At 45.3% G+C, this 21675-nt stretch overlaps 1 protein-coding gene and 1 long non-coding RNA gene across 5 annotated transcripts in view; one reads left to right on the top strand and one right to left on the bottom strand.

Moving 5' to 3' along the window:
* Positions 1-19907, top strand: part of INO80 (INO80 complex ATPase subunit) — a 137401-nt gene extending 117494 nt beyond the window's left edge. For all 4 annotated transcript variants that reach the window (NR_104038.2, NM_017553.3, XM_047432698.1 and 1 more), the window contains 8 exons: positions 1186-1258; positions 10813-10971; positions 11594-11696; positions 13361-13449; positions 14435-14590; positions 14866-15025; positions 15710-15925; positions 18347-19907. Coding sequence is in view for 3 of the 4 variants with exons in the window: in NM_017553.3 (NP_060023.1) it covers positions 1186-1258; positions 10813-10971; positions 11594-11696; positions 13361-13449; positions 14435-14590; positions 14866-15025; positions 15710-15925; positions 18347-18564 (1174 nt within the window). In the remaining variant the exon portion in view is untranslated. The remainder of the gene's footprint in view (positions 1-1185; positions 1259-10812; positions 10972-11593; positions 11697-13360; positions 13450-14434; positions 14591-14865; positions 15026-15709; positions 15926-18346) is intronic.
* LOC124903476 (uncharacterized) lies at positions 14584-18410 on the bottom strand. The gene is made up of 3 exons (XR_007064602.1): positions 18321-18410; positions 17367-17477; positions 14584-14722 (listed from the first exon to the last, which is right to left on the bottom strand). It is a non-coding gene; the product is annotated as an uncharacterized LOC124903476 (long non-coding RNA).

The following is a 21675-nucleotide window of genomic DNA, read 5'->3' as shown; positions in this document are numbered from 1 at the left end:
AGCTACTCGGGAGGCTGAGGCAGGAGAACTGCTTGAACCAAGGAGGTGGAGGTTGCAGTGAGCCGAGATCGTGCCACTGCACTCCAGCCTGAGTGACAGAGCTAGACTCCATCTTCAAAAAAAAAAAAACAAAACTTGTCCTTTGTGATCTGGTATGGGCTTGTTCCCAGAAGACATTCCGTAAATATTTGTTGCTCGAGTGAGTGACAGTGGTACCTATTGGTTTATTTGTAATTCAGTGTTTCTTTGAAAGAACATAGGAAGTAGAAGGAAACTGAGAAAACCATATTTAATCATTTGTATGTAAGGGGTATGTTGACATTCATCCAGAAGTATTTAATTCCAGCCTGTCTTCATGGACTGATCCTAAATTCAAGTTAGCACATAAAAGTCACAGCCTGGGTCTTAGTTATTTGAGTCATTTTTCTGGGACTCAACTTTCTTCATCTTAAAATGAATGCTTTGGGGCCCCGCACGGTGGCTCGCGTCTATAATCCCAGCACTTTGGGAGGCCGAGGCGGGCGGATCACGAGGTCAGGAGTTCAAGACCAGCCTGGCCAATATGATGAAACCCCGTCTCTACTAAAAATATTAAAAATTAGGCAGGTGTGGTGGCGAGCGCCTATAGTCCCAGCTACTTGGGAGGCTGAGGCAGGAGAATTGCTTGAACCCAGGAGGCAGAGGTTGCAGTGAGCTGAGATCGCGCCTCTACACTCCAGCCTGGGCGACAGAACAAGACTACGTCTAAAAAAAAAAAAAAAAAAAAAAAAGAGTGTTTTGGAATAATAACATTAGTCCCCAGACTATTATAAGTCATGATTCTTAGAGAAAACCAGGAAGCTAGGAATGGTTTGATTTAAAAATATGACAGTGAGAGAGGTCTGTACATCTATGGTAACATTTTTCTGTTATATTTGCTACATGTTTATACTTGTGTTGCCTATCAGTCATCTATTAGTGGGCAGCAAAAGTTTATCTGCAAATTGGAAGATGACCTCCATGTTTGGTTGTAACAACAGAGCAACATTGTATAATGCTTTACAGAAATACAGTCAGGCCTAGGTAACCACCAAAACTCTTTTTAGTCCTAGACTTTATGTTCTGTATTCAGAGATCTCTCTCTATTGATACATGCCATTTTTTCTTTTCAGTTTTTCCTTTAACATATCTCTCCCTTTTCTGCAGGAATGACATCTTTGTGTTCCTGTTAAGCACACGAGCTGGAGGACTGGGTATCAATCTCACTGCTGCAGACACAGTAAGTAATGAGAGCACAATCAACTAGATATGCAGGTTTTCTACTATGAAACCTACTATGTAGGTTTTTCTAATATGGCATTGTTTGTTTTACCCTTTGCTTTTGTGTCACAAACTTGCAAACTTTTTATTTCTTTGCCTCTTGTGTTAAAAGACTCTAGTTGCTCTTTGACTGGAACTAGAGTATTTTAGCTTTCCTTATGGACTTTACTATTCATTTTCTTTGAACAAGTTTTTTTGTTTTTGTTTTTTGAGATGGGGCCTCACTCTGTTGCCCAGGCTGGAGTGCAGTGGCATGATCATGGGTCACTGTAGCTTCAACCTCCCCAGCCTCAGGTGATCCTCCCACCTCACCCTCCCAAGTAGCTGGGACTATAGGCATGCGCCACCATGCCCAGCTAATTTTTGTATTTTTTGTAGAGATGGGGTTTTGCCATGTTGCCCAGGCTGGTCTTGAACTCTGAGGCCCAAGTGATCCACCTGCCTCAGCCTCCCAAAGTACTGGGATTACAGGTGTGAGCCACTGCACCTCGCCTGAATAAGTGTCTTACACATTCATTCGACAAATATTTCACTAATGCCTACTATGTGTCTGATACTGTTTGAGACATTTAGGGTACATCAGGGAAAACAGACTGGAAAAACAATCAGTCCATCCAGATTTGTTTTAGGAGCTATAATTGAACACATCAGAAAGGATTGTTTTGTTACTCTTATGCATTATTCCATTAATGGAAAAACCCATTTTTTGTATCCTGAACTTCAAAAGGTGGTTGGAGAGCAATGAAAAGGGTAATTTCAAAAATAAAGTAGAAAAGATATTCCAACAAATTATCCACTCTTTCCTACCCAGTCTTCTTGCAGGAATGCTTCAGTGTTTGAAAGGGTGAAGAAAAGAGGATTCCTGGCTGGGCGTGGTGGCTCATGCCTGTAATCCCAGCACTTTGGGAGGCCAAGGCGGGTGGATCACCAGGTCAGAAGATCAAGATCATCCTGGCCAACATGGTGAAACCACGTCTCTACCAAAAAAAAACAAAAAAAATAGCCGGGCGTGGTGACACATGCCTGTAGTCCCAGCTACTCGGGAGGTGAGGCAGGAGAGTCGCTTGAACCCGGGAGGCAGAGGCTGCAGTGAGCCAAGATCATGCCACTGCACTCCACTCTGGGCGACAGAGTGAGACTGTCTCAAAAAGAAAAGAGGATTCTTTTTGAATCTCAAAATTATTGCTAAGATTCAAATATATTTAATAAGAATTTTAGTAACTTTGAGATTTAAAAATACGTAAATGGGAAATTATTTTATAAAAGGCATGACTCTAAAAATGGCACTTAATGTAACTATCGTGGTGCCTCTCTGACATATAGAACATCAAAATCCCCACAACTGTGAGGAGAAAGCAAACTCATGAGGGTAGTGGAGAAATGAGGTGCAAGAGTGTAGAGGCTTGAATAGATTCACAGCAGCAGGGGGAATCTCTCTCTCTCTCTCTCTCACTAATCTGATACTACACATTCTGTAATAGCAACTATAGGATGCACCTTCCTTGGCATCTAAACTTTCAGTTAACCAGGTACGGCAAGACGTCAGCGCCTGAGGGCCACTGGAGGCATTGCTGGGTAGCTGTACATCATCAGCATCTGTCATACTATGGGAGGGCTGTCAGTGTGGCATGTGTTGTTCCTGTGGGTTCTCTGATGTGGTGGCTCACTTGAGCCATATCACATAGTTTCTACCATATCAGATAGTAGAAACTTGCCTTTTTCCTTGTTATCTCTTGGTTCCCTGCTCTCTGTATCTTTTAAGAATTTCAGCATAGTCATACTCTCAATGTGAGTACAAGATTCATCACTTTGTCCCAGCTGCTCTTTTGGACTCCACTCTCAGTTCCCGGCTTCATACCTGTTGATCCAAATCCATTCTTTGCTATGCTGGTACTCTGTTAGTTTCTCTCTGCCCTTTATTAATCATGCCACTCCTTTGATTAAAACTCTTCAGGAATTCTTCATCAATTATAAAATAAAGTATAAGGCTCTTCATTTGTGTCCTTTATCTACCTTTATAGCTTAATTATCAGACCACTTTCCCTTCCAAATTTTATATTCCAGAAATAATGATTGACTTCTAGTTCCCTGAACACACCATGCCATATCACACTGTTGGATAAACTGTTCCCTCAGCCTAAGTCATCCTCCCATGAGTCTCCTCTTCCACCTGGTGAACTTCTGTTTGTTCTTTAAAACCCCATTCAGGTGTCAATATTCCTTTCCCAGCCCCTCCCTTTATTCAAGTTAATCAAAATACATTGTAAGTAATTATTTTACATACTAGACTTTGGCCTCAACAATGGAAGGAAGTCAAAAGTCTGCATTTCTAGGCTGAACGCGGTGGCTCACGCTTGTAATCCCAGCACTTTGGGAGGCTGAGGTGGGCAGATGGCTTGAGGTCAGGAGTTCAAGACCAGCCTGGCCTGCATGGTGAAACCATATCTCTGCTAAATATACAAAAATTAGCCGTATGTGCTGGCGCATGCCTGTGGTCCCAGCTACTCGGGAGGCTGAGGCAGGAGAATCACTTGAACCCAGGAGGCGGAGGTTGCAGTGAGCCAAGATTGCACCACTGCACTCCAGCCTAAGTCTATTTCTAGTACCTGGAACAGTTTGTTCATTTGTTCATTCATTCATTGATTCATTCAACAAATGTTTAATGAGCATCCACCAAGGGCCCAGCGTTGTTTTAGGCACTGGGAATTCAGCATGCAACAAAACAAAGTTCCATTTCTATCTTCATAGTTACTATAAATTACATTTCCAGTGGCAGGAGAGGAGACAAAGCATAAAGAAATGGAAAAAATACTGATAATATGGGGCCAGGTGCAGTGGCTCACACCTGTAATCCTAACACTTTGGGAGGCAGAGGCAGGCGGATCACAAGGTCAGGAGTTCGACACCAGCCTGGCCAATATGGTGAAACCCTGTCTCTAATAAAAATACAAAAAAATTTAGCTGAGCTTGGTGGTGGGCGCCTGTAGTCCCAGCTACTCGGGAGGCTGAGGCAGGAGAATTGCTTGAACCCGGGAGGCAGAGGTTGCAGTGCGCCAAGATCGTGCCACTGTACTCCAGCCTGGGTGACACAGTGAGACTCCATCTCAAAAACAAACAAAAAACTGATAATATGAATGCTATGAAGAAAAATTCATCAGGTAAGGAGTGGTAGCATGAGAATGATCAGGGGTTGCTGTTTTATATGGATTGGTAAGGCATCTCTGATAAGGTGACATTTGAGCCAAGATCTGAAGAAAGTAAGGCGGCAACCTAAGCATATACCTGGCAGAAAGAAGAGCATTCCAGGCAGAGGAGATAAGTGCAAAGCCCTAAGGTGAGAACATGCTTGGCATAATCAAGCAAAAGGAAGCAGCCCAGAGCAGGTAGAACAGAATCAACTATGGGGAGAGTAGTATGAGATGGCTATTGCAGAAGCAGATCATATAGGGGTTAGTAGCCATGGTAAGGACTTTGAGATGGGGAGCGATTGCAAGAATTTGAACAGAGGAGTAACATGATCTGGTTTGAGTTTTAAATGCATCCTTCTAGCTTCTGTTTAGAGTGGGAGAAAAAAATGAAATGCTACAAGGAGACATAAACAGGAAGATCAGTTAGGAGTATCAGAGGTTAAGTGGCAATATCACCCAGGCAGCAGAGTCTGAAGTTCAGGAGAAAGATTGGGGTTAAAGCTGTATTTTCTTTTTCTTTTTATTTATTTATTTATTTTTTGAGACAGAGTCTTGCTCTGTCATTCAGGCTGGAGTGCAGTGGCTTGATCTCGGCTCACTTCAACCTCCACCTCTCAGGTTCAAGTGATTCTCCCACCTCAGCCTCCCGAGTAGCTGGGACTACAGGCGGGCACCACCATTCCCAGTTAATTTTTATATTTTTAGTAGAGATGGGGTTTTACCACGTTGGCCAGGCTGGTCTCAAAACTCCTGACCTCAGGTGATCTGCCTGCCTCCGCCTCCCAAAGTGCTGGGATTACAGGCGTGAGCCACCACTCCTGGCCTTAAAGCTGTATTTTCAAATCATCAGGTTGTAGATGATATTTAAGAGGCTGTATGAGGTCACCTGGGAAGGTCTAGCACAATTTCATTTTATTAAAGTATGTTTCTCTTCTTCTCAGCTTGCCTATCTCAGGTTTAGTCTATGGTTTCTTAAGGAATAGTTTCTCCGGTTGTTCATTTAAATGGTTAAAGAAAAAAAAAAACTAAGCAGATTTAAAGAGAGATCTGCACCTTGCTTCCAAGGTTCACATAGTTTGCCCTGTAGGAGTAAAGAGCGTCCTGCCAGCCACAAAGAAGCAAAGTAGGCCTAGGCCTCTGATCCATAAGTAGAGGAATAAGAGTAGGAATTCTTTTTTCATCCTGAAGGCCAGAAAGGGGCTCTAGGCTGGGCATGGTGGCTCATGCCTGTAATCCCTGCAGTTTGGGAGGCCGATGTGGGTGGATTGCTTGAGGGCAGATGTTTGAAACCAGCCTGGGCCACATAGCAAGACCCCATCTGTACAAAAAAGTTTTTTAAATTAGTCAGGCGTGGTGGCACATGCCTGTGATCCCAGATACTCGGGAGGCTGAGGTGGGAGGTTTGCTTGGGCCCAGAAGGTCAAGACTGCAGTGAGCTGTGATTGTGCCGCTGCACTCCAACATGGGCAACACAGAGAGCTCCTGCCTCAAGAAAAAAAGAGAAAGGCTCTGAATACTCTGATTTCTGAATTCTGAAGTAATTTACATTTTAATTTTGGGGGAAGGGCTTGGGGATTCACTTGTAAATCAGAAGCTCCTGGAATAGTTCTTAGAAAAATGAGACAGCAAGATTGAAATTAATTCCGAGGATATACTGTGTGTGTGTTGCTAGAGAAACAGTAGGATTAGTTGCTTGTCTGGCATTTTTCCTTTGCCCTGAGATTTATTTAGCTTTGGGATTTCCCCAGAACCATTTATGGACAAGGAAGAGATTAATCAACCTAAAAATGTCAGGAAAAACCTAATGTCTTATGATTGAGAATGCATATGTAAAAATGTATTTATAAATAGTGGGACTCTATCTGGCCTACTTGGTTAGTAAAAACATGGTTTTAGCAAATGATGTATGGCAGCTGCCTTTTACTGTGTCACTGTATATGCTTCCTGAAGTAGGGTTGTCTTTGCATTTGACTCTGTTTAGTAAGGGGTTGTTATAAACTGCACTGTTTGTGTTTCTGTGTCAGACCTGTTTTAAATGCTTATGTGTAGTGAGAATGAAGAGCTTTTCTCCCTTTGCAGGGATTCAAGAAGTCCTGTCTCACAGGACAGCTTTTAGCCCTCTGCAGAGGCCGAACCTCCGCTTATTCTCTTGGGAGAAAAAGCTCCACCCTCCAAGTGTTGGTCCAACTTTTCCCACTTGTTCTTCTAGAAATTTTCCTGTTTCAGCAGGGCCCGGTGGCTCACGCCTGTAATCCCAGCACTTTGGGAAGCCCAGGCTGGCGGATCACGAGGTCAGGAGATCGAGACCATCCTGGCTAACACAGTGAAACCCCGTCTCTCTAAAAATGCAAAAAATGAGCCGGGCATGGTGGCGGACGCCTGTAGTCCCTCCCAGCTACTCGGGAGGCTGAGGCAGGAGAATGGCGTGAACTCGGGAGGCGGAGCTTGCAGTGAGTCAAGATCTTGCCACTGCACTCCAGCCTGGGCGACAGAGCAAGACTCCATCTCAAAAAAAAAAAGAAAGAAATTTTCCTGTTTTAAATCTCATTCTCTCATCCCCTGAAACTCCTTCTCACTGACCTATACAGCCAGGCCCCTCTACCGCATGGTAACTCTCACCTCTCTTCCCTTGTGCCTGCCCTGCTTGGTGTTTACAATGTCATGAAGGCATTGACTACTATTTCTCCTTAGTCACTGCTGGGCCACGCTTTGTGGATTGACTTGCCTTAATCTTTCCTAGTTAAATCAGTTGTTCTAATCCTTTAATTGTTACTTGTTTTTTTCTGGAATGTCTCACTGAGCTCCATAAACCCAACTGCCAAATATAGGCATCATCCCTGTTCCACAGTGGTGCATTGTCTCCCTCACCACTCCCTCCAGTTCACATCACGGTTAATTCAGTGTTAGATTAGATGGTAACCATACATCTGCCTTGGTTTTTAGTTCTCTCACTCTTGTTCTTAACCTATTAGTTTGTACGTATTTCATATTTTCCGCTGCACAGGTATTTTTCTAAACAATCCTATTTTTTTCTGTTTTCCTCCCAAATTCCCCACCTCTTGGAATCCATGTAAAGGATAAATATCTTCCATATTTGGAGATTTTTGAAGTTAAGATTGTAAACCCATCTCCTTAGGCTTTAATCTTACTGTTCATGAGCTCAAAAGAACACAAGTTGAATCAGGTTTGGTTGCCACTGGGTCTTCTAGGAAAAAATGTAAATGTTAAGACAGTACTTATGAAACAATTCATTATATGGCTCTCCCTCCACCCACCTCCACCACCCACATCCCCACATTATGAATTCGTGCTGAACCATAGCCTCAAGCTTAGACAGCTCAAGATACTGTCTTTTGGGTGTGACATCAGCCCTCAAATTCCACATTTGTGGTCATTTTAAATACATTGGGCATCATGGGACAACATGAACCAGAAAAAAAGATGAAAAAAATACACTGGGCAAGTAATGTTATCCTCTAGTCCAACTGAAGGTCTTCACTTTTGTTAGCTCTGTTCTCCCTGAAAGTTCAAACTTGGTCTTCTAGTTCAAACTTGGTCTTCTGGAAGTTCTTATGTCCTCTTTGAAACCAAAATGTCGTGTGGTCAGGTTTGTTAAGTTCCTCTAGAGGCAACAAGCATTGTGCACTTCTAAATCTTAGGTTTGCAGGACACTAGATTAACAATAAGCATTCACGGTGACTTTCTTTCGCCAGCAGTTTACATTGTTCTTCCCAAGGATTCTAACCTGTGCTAAAAATGGAGGGAAACCATTTTGGCCAGGTGCAGTGGCTCATACCTGTAATTCCAACACTTTGGGAAGCTGAGATGGTAGGATTGCTTGAGCCCAGGAGTTTGGGGCTGCAGTGAGCCAAGATCATGCCACTGTACTTCAGCCTGGATGACAGAGCAAGACCCTGTCTCAGAAAAGAAAAAGAGAGACAGAAACAGTTTCAAGAAAGATGACTCACTCTTTCAAATAGTACACATGAAATAATTGACACCATAGAAGTTAGTGATTAAGTGGGGACTTGGACCAAGGTAGGTAGGCAATGCCAAGTTTTGTTACTACTGTAGGTTGTGGAGGGAGACTGTTAGGTCACTCCCCACCCCAGCCCCTTGCTGTGATTTCAGACCAGTCTCTTCCTTGCTTGTAAGATGGAGGATAGACATAGGATTTTTTTTTTTTTAGAATTCAGTGAGAGATATATGCATACTAGTCCTGGGCTCATAAGTACCCAACAAATTTTAGCCATTATTATTTCTAATAGGAATCCAGGGGGAATAGGGATAAGAAAAGAAAAGGAGACATTATTATAGGCAAGAGAAAACAGGGCGAGCTTCCTAGAAGCTTGAACTAAACCTGAAAGGACCAATAAAGAAGAGTTTTGGGATTCTAGTTCAGAGAAACAGCTTGAGCAATAAGAGGTGTACACAAATGTATTATAAGCCAGGACCACTGAAGAGACCCATCTGACTAAAGGGAAAGGGCATATTTGTGTTAGGAAAGAATAGAAAATAAAGTTGGCTCTCTATAGCAGGGCCTGATTATTTAGGAGAGTTTGGACATGGTGGCAGGCACCTGTGATCTCAGCTACTCAGGAGGCTGAGGCAGGTGTGTAACTGGCAGAGAGCTGGAGTGGCCCACAGTGGTAGCCAAGGTAGACTGAAGAGGAAAGAGACCGAGATCTAAGAGTCCTGCTGATGTAACAGAGTGCTAATCCAGATGTAGGTTGTGAGGGCCTGGTCTAGAATGGAAACAGTGGGATTGTTACAGTAGAAAGGACAGGTTCATTTTTGAAGCAGTGGCTGGATTTGGTGACTTTTGATTGGATATAAAGGACAACACATGAGATATGAGGGCCATTTTGAACTGGTCCGCCATGTTGGATGGTAGCCTCAAGGGTTGAGGACTGAGGAGTTTGTTTTAGGATCACTCACTTAGTGGTGATATATTTTGTTGTTAATTTGTTTGTTGCTCAGCAAACTAGAAGTCACTTCCAGAGAACCCTTTAAACATTCCATCCTGGGAATTCATGGGCTAGTAAATGACTGTTGATGAGAGCCTGAGAATTCTAGGGAAAGCCATGCCTGTTTCCAGCATAGCCCCAGTGTTTTGTTTTGTGACAGAGTTTCTCTCTTGTTGCCCAGGCTGGAGTGCAATGGCATGATCTCAGCTCACTGTACTCCCCGCCTCCTGGGTTCAAGCAATTCTCCTGCCTCAGCCTCCTGAGTAGCTGGGACCACAGGTGCCTGCCACCACACCTGGCTAATTTTTTTTTTTTTTTGAGACGGAGGCTCACTGTGTCGCCCAGGCTGGAGTGCAGTGATGCAGTGTCGGCTCACTGCAACCTCTGCCTCCCAGGTTCAAACAATTCCCCTGCCTTAGCCTCCCAGATAGCTGGGATTGCAGGCACGCACTGCCACGCCCAGCTAATTTTTGTATTTTTAGTAGAGATGGGGTTTCACCATGTTAGCCAGGCTGGTCTCAAACTCCTGACCTCAAGTAATCCACTCGCCTTGGCCTCCCAAAGTGATGGGATTACAGGCGTGAGCCACCAAGCCTGGTTAGTTTTTGTATTTTTAGCAGAGATGGGGATTCACTATGTTGGCCAGGCTGGTCTCTAACTCCTGACCTCAGGTGATCTACCTACCTCAGCTTCCCAAAGTGCTGGGATTACAGGTGTGAGCCACCACAGCTGACCTGTTTTGTTTTTGAGACAGGGTATTGCTCTGTCACCCAGGCTGGAGTGCAGTGGTACAATCTCAGCTCACCGCAACCTCTGCCTCCCAGGCTCAAGCAATCCTCCCACCTCAGCCTTGTGAATAGTTGGGAGCAGTGGTGCTTAGTTAAGCAATGTGATCTTGGATAAATTGTCTAGCTCATTTGTGCCTCATTCTCCTAAACTACAAAATATGTGAGTCTTAACAGCATTTAAATAATGACGATTATGGGATTTTTTTTCTCAGCACAAATAACAGTGATAATTCTGGGATTTAAATGAGTTAATGCACTTAGAACAATGCACTGTAAGTGTTAACCGTTAATGTTATTAATGTACTAAACACTACGTTTTAACTATTAATATTATTGCCACTCTTTTTAAGTGAAAACTGAAAAAAATAAAACAGGAGCATGTATCTTTTGCTCAGGGCATGTGAAGGAACGGCTTTGTATCTTCTAAGATGTATCTTACTTAGCTCAATATCATAGAAACGAATCAGACCCTACTGACGCCAAACTCGCAAACAGACAATTGGCTGGGTTGCTCTCAGAATTTCTGGTCCTTCCCTAAGAGTGCTTCAGTTTTTGCTATATTCTATGCAGGTGATTTTCTATGATAGCGACTGGAACCCCACTGTGGACCAGCAGGCCATGGACAGGGCCCACCGCTTAGGGCAGACAAAGCAGGTTACTGTGTACCGGCTCATCTGTAAAGGCACCATTGAAGAACGCATTCTGCAAAGAGCCAAGGAGAAGAGTGAGGTAAGCACAAGAGAAAGAAATTCCTACACTGGTGGAGCAAACAGAAAGTCCAACCACATTGACTGCATTGAGACTATTTTAAAACTCTCTTGCCTTTCATTGGTCCTGACGAAACTACAATTTCTTCTGAATAGAAAATAAAATCAGGTCCCATGCAATAGCAATTTTGACTTCCCTGGCCATGCCTCATTCCCTTTCCCCTAGAATGGTTTCCATAGCCTGGATCCAGCTGTTGTTCATGTGGAGACTGACACCGGTAATGGCCTCTCGCATTCAGTGGAAGAAGGATGGACATTTTTTAGTTCCTATCCTAGTACTCTCAGCTTATCTGCCTCTGAATTGTATGCCAAATTTGTTATTTTTTGTTTTTTTCATCCTGATTCAGTAGCCTTAGATTTTCTAGTTAGCAGTTCCAAGCAAAGAAGTTATCATTTTCCTTCTGTCGGACAAATAATCTGGATGAGCCAATCAGATGAACTGAAATGAAAAGGGAGAAAAGAAGAAATAGGAAACCAGAGGCCTCCCCTGAGGAGTGGGTTGAGAACGATGTGTATCTTTTTCTGGATATTTGCCATAAGGGAATGGATGCCTGGAGGTGACATTTTGATCTGCTTTGGTGTAGATTCAGCGGATGGTGATTTCAGGTGGGAACTTCAAACCAGATACCTTGAAACCCAAAGAGGTGGTTAGTCTTCTTCTAGACGACGAAGAGTTGGAGAAGAAACGTATGTACTCTAAACCTCTATACACTCCCCTCACGTATCTGAGAATGGAAGAGGTACTTGGCTGTGTGCCAAGGGTAGGCAAAGCCAGAGGCTGTATTTAGGGAAAGTATTTTTGTGCTCATATTTTATATAAAAACCCAAACAAGAATGTGTTTGTAGGCCAGGCATGGTGGCTCACGCCTCTAATCTCAGCATTTCGGGAGGCCAAAGTGGGCAGATCACCTGAGGTCAGGAGTTTGAGTTTGAGACCAGCCTGGCCAACATTGTGAAACCCCACCTCTACTAAAAATACAAAAAATTAGTTGGGCATGGTAGCGGGCACCTGTAATTCCAGCACTTTGGGAAGCTAAAGCAGAAGAATTGCTTGAACCCAGGAGGTGGAGATTGCAGTGAGCCGAGATCATGCCATTGCACTCCAGCCCGGGCAATAAGAGTGAAACTCCATCTTTTAAAAACAAACAAAAACAAAAAACACAAGACGGCTCACACCTGTAATCCCAGCACTTTGGGAGGCCGAGGCAGGTGGATCACGAGGTCAGGAGTTCCAAGACTAGCCTGGCCAACCTGGTGAAGCCCCGTCTCTACTAAAAATACAAATATTAGTCGGGCGTGGTGGTGGGCACGTGTAATCCCAGCTACTCGGGAGGCTGAGGCAGGAGAATCCCTTGAAGCTAGGAGGCAGAGGTTGCAGTGAGCCAAGATCGTGCCATTGCACTCCAGCCTGGACAACAAGAGCAAGATTCCATCTCAAAAAAAAAAAAAAAAAAAAAAAAAGCATTGTGGAGTAGAAGGCAAAATTTGTGTGTATTTTAAAGGTAAATGTGGCTTCAAATAATGTAGCTTGCACAAGGAAGGCAGCTGACTCCTTAGCAGTAGTGAATTTGCTCTTCTGCCCAGAAAAATGTTTTTATGGAAAAGTTGGAGAAGCACGCAGCTGTAACCATACAAACCCTCCTCCCATGTGTTTTCTGGCTTTTGAGAGCATTGGGTTTCAGATTCATCCTGTGAGCCTCTGAAGCCTTCCACAGCATTAGAGCAGAAAGTAAGTTCACATTTGCCAGCACCTTCTAAAACCTTTCAGAACTCTACAGCCATGCTCAATGTGTGCAAAGCAGAGATTAAAAGGCTGAAATGAAAAAGGGAAAAAGAATAACATGAGGAAAGGCCTATAATAATTTTTTTTTAGACAGAGTTTTGCTGTGTTGCCCAGACTGGAGTACAGTGTCACAATCCTGGCTCACCACAACCTCCACTTCCTGGGCTCAGGCAGTCCTCCTGACTCAGCCTCTGGGGTAGCTGGGACCCAGGCGCGTACCACTGTGCCTGGCTAATTTTTGTATTTTTATAGAGATGGGGTTTCACTATGTTGGCCCGGCTGGTCTCAAGCTCCTGGGCTTGAGCCATCAGCCTGCCCCAGCCTCCCAAAGTGCTGGGATTACAGACGTGAGTCACCACACCGAGCCAGCCCATAATGCTTAAAATAAGAGTGTGATTTAAACCCAAAATTGAGAATCCAAGTTAGAAAACCACTGGTTATCTGCCTTAAACAGATAGAAGTGATACTTGGAAAATAAACATCAGGGGATATGGCCACCTTAATTAAGAGAGTGAGGATTATGATTACCACAGGTACTTCATCAGGTCTTAATTCATTTTCTTGATAGTGAGGCTGCGGCAGGAAGAGAAACGGCAACAGGAGGAAACCAACCGAGTGAAAGAGCGCAAGCGGAAGCGGGAAAAGTATGCAGAGAAGGTATTTCCAGCCTGGAATGGTGGATAGGGGCTAATGGGGCCTGGGGTACTTACCAAAAAGGCTTTGGGGTACATGGCTTCTCATCTTGGTTACTGGTTGCTATCAAGCTCCAGCTGTGTATGATCAGCTACATTTCTGGGCTGACTCACGCTTTGCTCAGGAGAAATGTGGCCTTGGTAGATCTGTACTCTCCACACAAACTCACCCTTACGGTGGTCACAGTTTAATTATGGAAACCATTTGTCAGGGCTGTTACAAAGCGTGGAAGGCTAAAATGTGACTAAGATGGGCATTACTTATAAGGCTCCATAGAATCTTAGAAGGGGCCTAAGAGGTCATGAGATCCACAAACCTACCATAATTCTGCTAGTGTACCACTCAGTGTCATCTGTCACTAGAAAAATAAACCCCCGGTTTATTTCTAAATGTCTGTTCATCTGTTTTTCTCTAGTTCACACCAAGGATTTGAACTGTCTTAAAAATTTGTCTTAAAAACAGATATGTAGAAAATATATTGAAAGCATTGGCCCTCTCTTTTGTGGGACTGCATTCAGTCAGCCTCAATAAGTGCTGGATGTGCCAGCGGCTGGTGAGGCTCTTCGGCCCATTAGGATCAGGGTTGGTGTGGCTCTGGTTCAGTGTGACTGCCCCAACTTTAAACTCTATTATTGTGGCAGATATTCATAAGCTCTTTTTTTTTTTTTTCTTTTGAGCTGGGGTCCAATTTCTGGGCTCAAGTAATCCTCCCACCTCAGCCTAAGTAGTTGGAATTACAGGCATGTGCCACAGTACTCGACTGAAATACACACAAACTCCTGTTAAGCTATCCCTTCTTCCTTATGCAGTTTTTCTTCCGTAAAAATATGCTAATTGAGAAGTTTATAAACTAAAGAATAAAAGTTCTGTTATCCTTTTCTTCCCAAATCCCGCTTTTCTTTTGGGGTGCATCCTCACACGTTTTCCATATTTATCCGTGTGTTCCCAGAAGAAAAAAGAAGATGAATTGGATGGGAAAAGGAGAAAAGAGGGTGTGAACCTGGTGATCCCATTTGTTCCCTCGGCTGATAACTCCAACCTCTCTGCTGACGGAGATGACTCCTTCATTAGCGTGGACTCAGCCATGCCAAGCCCTTTCAGTGAGGTGAGGCTCCTTTTAGATGCCTGCATCACAGCCGTAAGGAGTGTCCTGACCGTGTAGCAGGGACACACTGCTGGGCAGTCTTTGCTTCTCCTGGAGTTCTCCAGCCTTGTTGAAGTAGGTTGCACATGAGGTCTGTAAGGAGAAAAACAAATGAGGACAGGTTGGTTTCTCAGAAGCCAAAGCAGCCTCAACTGTGAAGCATGTTCCTAGCTGGGTGCAAGGCCATGGGCGGTGAGCACAGGGGGTCGTAATGATCTTAACCCTTCCTCTTCTAGATCTCCATCAGCAGTGAGCTGCACACTGGCTCCATTCCCCTGGACGAGAGCAGCAGTGACATGCTGGTCATTGTGGATGACCCAGCCTCCTCAGCCCCTCAGTCTCGAGCTACCAACTCTCCCGCATCCATAACAGGCTCCGTCTCAGATACCGTGAATGGTAATTGCTGCTGTCTTGTACAGCTTGGGCCTGGTCCACTGCCCAGCACTGGTTTGGTTGTGGGTAAGGTCCTGATTCCTTCTAGGATAATGGTATTTTTATTCTTTCAATAGCTTTGTCAAGTGAAATGAGAAAACGAGGTTTAGGGAAAGCAAAATAAGTAACTTTATAAAGATTTAAAACTTTTCTAGTCATCCCCGACTTTCAGATTCACCATTATTTTTGCTGATTTTTAATTAATGTTAGCTTTTCTGGGCCTTTCCTCACTTTGCTGTGTGGGGTCTAGTGTTGCTGCCATTTCTTGGGGAGCTCTGGGTTCAAAACTCGAGGGTAAAATTTGACTCTCCAAGGCAAGAGCACATTAGAGTGTGCAGATGAGTCCCAGGTAGCAAGTCGCTTCCCTTTGTAATGGACAAATTTAAAGAGGAAACTCAGGAGTAATGTAACTGCTCTTCAGAATGAAAAGCAGCTTGAGGAGTTAGGATGTTTTCATTGTTTAGAATTCTTAGTATTCTGTGTGACTCAGTGGTCTAGCCATCATTAAGTGGAGACATAGACCTCCTCATGGGTCCTAAAACAAATGCCCTAAGAGCTCGCTTTCCCTGTCAGGAGAAGGTGATGTTAACATCTTGGAGATTGACTTTTTTTTTTTTTCTTTCCCTTTTGGCCCATTTGTTCCCACAGGAATTTCCATTCAGGAAATGCCAGCTGCAGGACGTGGTCACTCAGCCCGAAGCCGAGGCCGCCCCAAAGGTTCAGGAAGCACAGCCAAAGGAGCAGGGAAGGGCCGGAGCCGAAAGTCCACGGCAGGCAGTGCTGCTGCAATGGCAGGAGCCAAAGCCGGGGCTGCAGCGGCCTCTGCAGCTGCCTATGCCGCATACGGGTACAACGTGTCTAAAGGTACAGAAGCCCAGGGTGGCTGCAGACTTTGTTCTGGTCAGAGACAGTCTAGAAATTCTGTCAGTCAGGTAGAACATGTAGGAAACCCTGAAGCCGGGAGCTTTCTTCCTAGAGCCCCAATTGGGGTTCTTCTTCTTTGTAATAAGCACTGTTGACTCACCCCTTGCCCTCCTGACGGTACAGGGCTGTCTGTGGATTGGAAGTAGTTGTAAAAAGGGAGAGCTGAATTGTGAACTGTACTACTTTAAACATTCTGAATTTTTCTTGCTTTGGGGATTTGTTTTCTTCCTAGGCTTTCATTTCTGAGATCCACATTTTAGTAATCCAAATTAGCATAGTTAACGTTCATTCAGCTGTGTGATTTATCACCTAGATATGAGGCACCTGCTGCATGCATAGGCGTATACCACATGGGCCAGGCACAGTGGCTCACACCTGTAATCCCAACACTTTGGGAGACTGAGGCAGGCAGATCACTTGAGGCCAGGAGTTCGAGACCAGCCTGGCCAACATGAGGAAACCCTGTCTCTACCAAAAAACACAAAAAATTAGATGGGCGTGGTGGCTCACGCCTGTAGTCCCAGCTACTTGGGAGGCTGAGGCACGAGAATTGACTGAACCCTGGAGGTGGAGGTTTCAGTGCACTGAGATCAGGTCACTGCACTCCAGCATGGGTGACAGAGCAAGACTCTCTCAAAAACTAAAAAACGTAAAAAGGAGTATTCCACATGGACCTTGCTCCTGAGTGTATAATAGCAATGAGAAGGGGAAGCCATGCATGCAGTACTCTTAACAGCAATCCACGGCAAAATACAGGGGAATGAAAAGAAGGCAGCCACAGCAGTTGTAGGTCAGGAGGAGAGGGAACCATGGTCCTGCTGATAAGTTGCCTGTCTGTATTCAAAAGGGAGGAGAAGAATGAGGAAGGATTTGGACTGGTGACAGAGAGCTGGCAGTGGCCAAGGCATACTGGGGGTCACTGAGCAGCTTAGGTTCCATGGAAGAGGAGCAGTAGGAGTCAAGGTTGTAAACACATGGCGAGGCCTGCTGGGCAGGAGCTTAGCAGATGTGTGACAAGGGGCTGCAGACAGTTTGAGGAAAAAAGTGGCTGTTGTGACCGTGATATGTGAAGGATGATTGTAGCTATAAAGTACAGGACATTTGAGTGTGGTGAGAAAGAGAGAGCCACTTACAGACCTTTCTTCCCATTCAATACGTGGGCTTAGTATGAGCTCATAGTTGTAGCAAGTAAAGGCATACTAGTATAGAAAGTGCTTGGAGTGTAGTAATTGCTCAGTAATTGTTAGTTTACTTGCCTTTTCTCTTACTGCAGAAATCTCAGCTTTCATTTATTGGTTCTTCCAGGAAATATGAAGTATGATAGAGGAAATATGAAGTATAATAGCCTCGCCCAGTGTTTCTTAGCCCTTTGCCAACTTACCACATCCTTGGAAAACAACAGTCATGCCAGTAGTCCAGGCTGCCGTGGCAGGGTCTCACCCATGGCTGGGGCATTGCATATACTCATCAGGGTTTCTCCTCAGAACCTGCACTGTGTAGAGGGCAGAAAGGGTGAGGGAGATAGAGGGGGTAGAGCAGCACAAGAAAAACCAACAGTGCTTGGCAACTGGAAATGGAAATCAAGGGAAAGGAGTGGTTCAGAGAGTACCCGTGGTTCCACTGTGGATGAGGAGAGAGACATGTCTGCCCATCAAGCACTTAGAATTCTTTTTTGGAAAGTAAAACCAGTACATATGAAACAATTGAAGAATCAATGTGTTATCACATGTAAGTGGATTTGGCTTATGTAGGAAAAAGGGAAGTTCACTGTTGCCCAGGGAGTCATCACTCAAGATGGGGGATTTGAGCTGTGCCCTTGAAGTGACACAGGCCTTGGAGAGCAGGGGTGGCCATTGCCAGCGCAAGGAGAACTGTATGAATATAGACACAGGATAGAGAGTGGGCAGCCTTGTACCCTCTGGCCCGACTTACTGGAGAGTAGCAGGAGCATGAAATTGAAAAGGAAACATCTTATCAAACTTGATGTTCCAAGAAAGAAGAAAGGAAAAACCTGTTTGTGCCTAGTAAGTTACAGCTCTCATCCTGTAACTTTGGTGTCTCAGATTGTAAAATGTGTGCTCTATCTAGAGTGTCAAGATGAACATTTTACCATCTGTGGATGAAGTAGTATAGAGAGGGTTGGGTAGGTATCATTTTCTCTTAAAAATCTATTCCTCTTACTGAAAAGACAGTTGACAGGAAGAGCAAGCAAACATGCCAAGAAGTTGTTAGCAAGGAGTGGCAGGGAGGAATTGCCCACCACTTCTCCTCCAGCTCAGACTCTGGTAACCAAGGCCACAGGCTCCAAGGAAGCTTACGCGGGACTGGTGCTTACGTTCTTGTCTCTCTCCGTCCCCACAGGAATCTCCGCCAGCAGTCCTCTGCAGACATCCCTTGTTCGGCCTGCTGGCCTTGCTGACTTTGGACCTTCAAGCGCCTCTTCTCCTTTGAGTTCCCCTTTGAGCAAGGGAAATAATGTTCCTGGGAATCCCAAGAACCTCCACATGACCAGCAGCCTAGCCCCAGACTCTCTGGTCCGGAAACAGGGCAAAGGCACCAACCCCTCTGGAGGACGGTAACCATCTGGGCCCTCCGACTTCCTTCAACCAAACCAGGGCTAGAGTCCTGACCTGCCAGTGGTCTTTGGATGGCTTGCCCCGTGCAGCATCTTGCATCCTGAGTCAGAAGTGGAAATGTCCAGCAGGGGAAGGACAGGCAGGTGGATGGTGTGAGCACTTTTATCATCTGTGTCTCATCAGGAGCATCTGGGGTGCCTGTAGGAGGAAGGCCACAGGGCATGGATCAGCCCCACTGCATCTCAAGTGAACTGTATAGCCAAGTCTTAAACCTCTCACGGGGCAAGCCTGACACAGACCCCCTTTAGATGCTCAGGCATACTGTTTCCATCCCGATTCCACTCTTCGGCTCTGACACGTCCCTTGCAAAGTCTCCGCAGGTGCTGTGAAGAGCCTTCCATGGTAGAGATTTCTCTTAAGAGTGTGATTTCTCATAGGGCTAGTAAGGGAGATTGTATACCTGTTGTCCACAGTCTTCAGGCAGCTCCCCAGGTCTCTGAACCCCAGAGTGTCATCATTGGAGAGAGCAGTGACTGCGAGAGATGGTGGAGGCCGCTAAGCATGGTAGAGGCTAGAGGAAGTCTATCCACAGGCAGTTGTGTTCCCAGCAATTCCTCCCATCCTGCATGGTTCACACCAAGAGAACCTTCAGATCCTACCAGCAACCGTAGCACCTTCCACCCAGGGGACTCCCAGAAGCCAGTAGAGAGACCAGGAGCCACCTCAATCAGCAGGACAGCCTCACTGCCCCTCTTGCAGAGTCCCCTTTGCCCATCCTGAATGCACAGTCTCCCTGCTCATGCCCTTCAGTCCCCTGCTTGGCTGTATGCACTGTCTATATTGCACTGAGAGAGGAAGGGACAGCAGGAGTGAGGTGAAGAGGGCGGAGAGAGGGGGCAGGCTCGGCACCGGCCCTCCCAGCCCGGCCAGCCTGAGCTTGCTGCCCTCCAGTAGAGACAGAGGGGCAGTGTTTGCATGGGAGGTGTTTCTGCCTGTCCCTGCCTGATGTCCCTGGTGGAGCAGGTACCTCCGGGCGGGCAAGCCTCTGATTTGCACACCTGAAAATCGCGGAATTGAGTTTCGATAGATTGATTTTTAAAACTTTTTTGGAGTAGGGGGTATAGGGGAATCATTTAATTTAAATCATTAAGATTCCCCTGCTCAAACCCAGATTCCTGTGTACAGATGCTATTTAGAGGGAATCAGAAAAATGCCAAGCCTTTTCTCTTTGAATGTGCTATTTTTATAACTGAACTTGTACATATGTATAAAGAGAGACACATCTTCCTTTTACTAACTGGATAAAAAAATCTTAAATAAAATGGAGTGAGATAATTTTATGTAAATTGAGGTGTCTGTGGTCTTTGCAGCTGCCCCTCCTTGGAGGCAAACTAGAGCCCTTGGTGGATGTGGCAGGATACAGGGAAAGCAGAGCCCTCGCCTGTGATCAGAGAGGACAGGGGTTGGTGGGACAAGGAGTGGACTGTGGGTGTTTCCTTAGTAGCAGAATTGATTGGGCTTATGAATTTGCCTCTGGCCATCAGAAAGGAAGCTTGACCAACTGTCTGACATGCAGTGGTCAACGCCCTTGTCTCCATGGTGGGCTCTTTATGACTCAGGACTTAGACCCCAGGACTGAGGTGTGGGCGGCTTGGCCTAGGCGCCATTAAGCAGAGCTACATAGTGGTCATCTTAATAGTGGCAGTGTTCTCAAAGTTAGCTGCACTCTTAAGAATCATGAAAGAAAATGGTGAAATACATTCCTAAGGATGCCAGAGACATCCAGGCTGTGAAAACTTACCTTGGTGATAGTTGGGAAAAGAGCCCTAGTTCCCAGCCTGGCCTGGCAGCCAGCGTTTCTCTGACTGGGTGAAACACTGATAAGCTCTTGTATCACTTTTGGGTAGGGCTCATGTGGTTCCCAAGTATGCTGGCTGTGTGGCCTCCCTAGCCTTGCTCACCCTGCACGCTGTTGGTCAGGGTGGGCTGGCTCCTGGGCAGCTGATGCCCACCACAGTCACAAGGATCAGCCTTTCTTCATTGACATCAAGTACATTACTAGATACTCTGGATCTTGTTTATCTTGCTGGTGAACTTGACCAAGGCCTCACACAGAATAAACCAACATCAGAACTAAGCAGCTCTGCCTTTACATGCTATGTAAAGATTTTTCATAAGAAAAGATAGTAATTTGAAACCTGAATTGTCCCTTAAGGCAACGCTTCTCCAGTGTTAATGTGCACACAAATCACCTTGAGATCATAACATGCAAGTTCTGTTTCTGAAGGTCTAGGTTGAGGCTTGAGACTGAGTTTCTTGAGAAGATCCCAGGTGATGGCCATGCTGCTTGCTAGTCCTTGGACTACCCCTGGAATAACAAGGCCCTAGGGTGCCTTCCAGCCCTGCCAAGCAGGAAAAATCTCTGCTCTTTGCTTATATGCCCGCACCCCAGCCAGGAAGCCCGGTGCAGGAAATACTTTATTTTTCCTCTTACCCAGCTTAATACACCTGATGACAGAAAATGAAATCCTAGCATTTCTAGAGAAATTCAATCCCTTATATGTTTTCTCCATTTTTGTTTTGTTTTTTCATTTTTAAACTAACTGTTCATCATTTTCTCCATCACTTCCTGGGTAGCACCTCTGTTGGGCATGTTAGGTATGAGAGAAGGCCTCAGATTTGCTACTGTCCCTCTCCTGTGTGGCCTCCACCAAGATGCAATATGTCATGAAGAGTCTGTGACCCCTGGACTCAGTGTTTCCTGTGCCTGTGTCCTTTTATTGTGACCACCAGACTCCTGGATCAGTCATCTTTCTCAACTAATTCCTAAGCCCCTCTCAGGGGGCATGGAGACCGTTTGGCTGCTCTCCCACGCTTCTCTGAGACTACCAGAGAGTCGCGAAACCCCCAACTGGGGAGGCAGCGTGTTGACCATGGGTGCCCAGTTCAGCCAGCCTCATGGTGCACATTCAGACCACTTAGATGGTGGGGTAGGGAGAAGGCAGGTTGTGTTCTAGAGAAAGCAGAGACGTCCGGTTGTCACGAAATTGTGTGTCCAAGTACTAAGGCGGCCCACTGCCTCATCAAAGGACCCTGAGGAAGCTGGGTGCCTCC

This window comes from Homo sapiens, chromosome 15 (assembly GCF_000001405.40).
Source record: "Homo sapiens chromosome 15, GRCh38.p14 Primary Assembly".
In the NCBI taxonomy this organism is placed as follows: domain Eukaryota; kingdom Metazoa; phylum Chordata; class Mammalia; order Primates; family Hominidae; genus Homo; species Homo sapiens.
The sequence above is the reverse complement of the archived record's forward strand: the minus strand, read 5'-3'. Positions and strand labels throughout refer to the sequence as shown.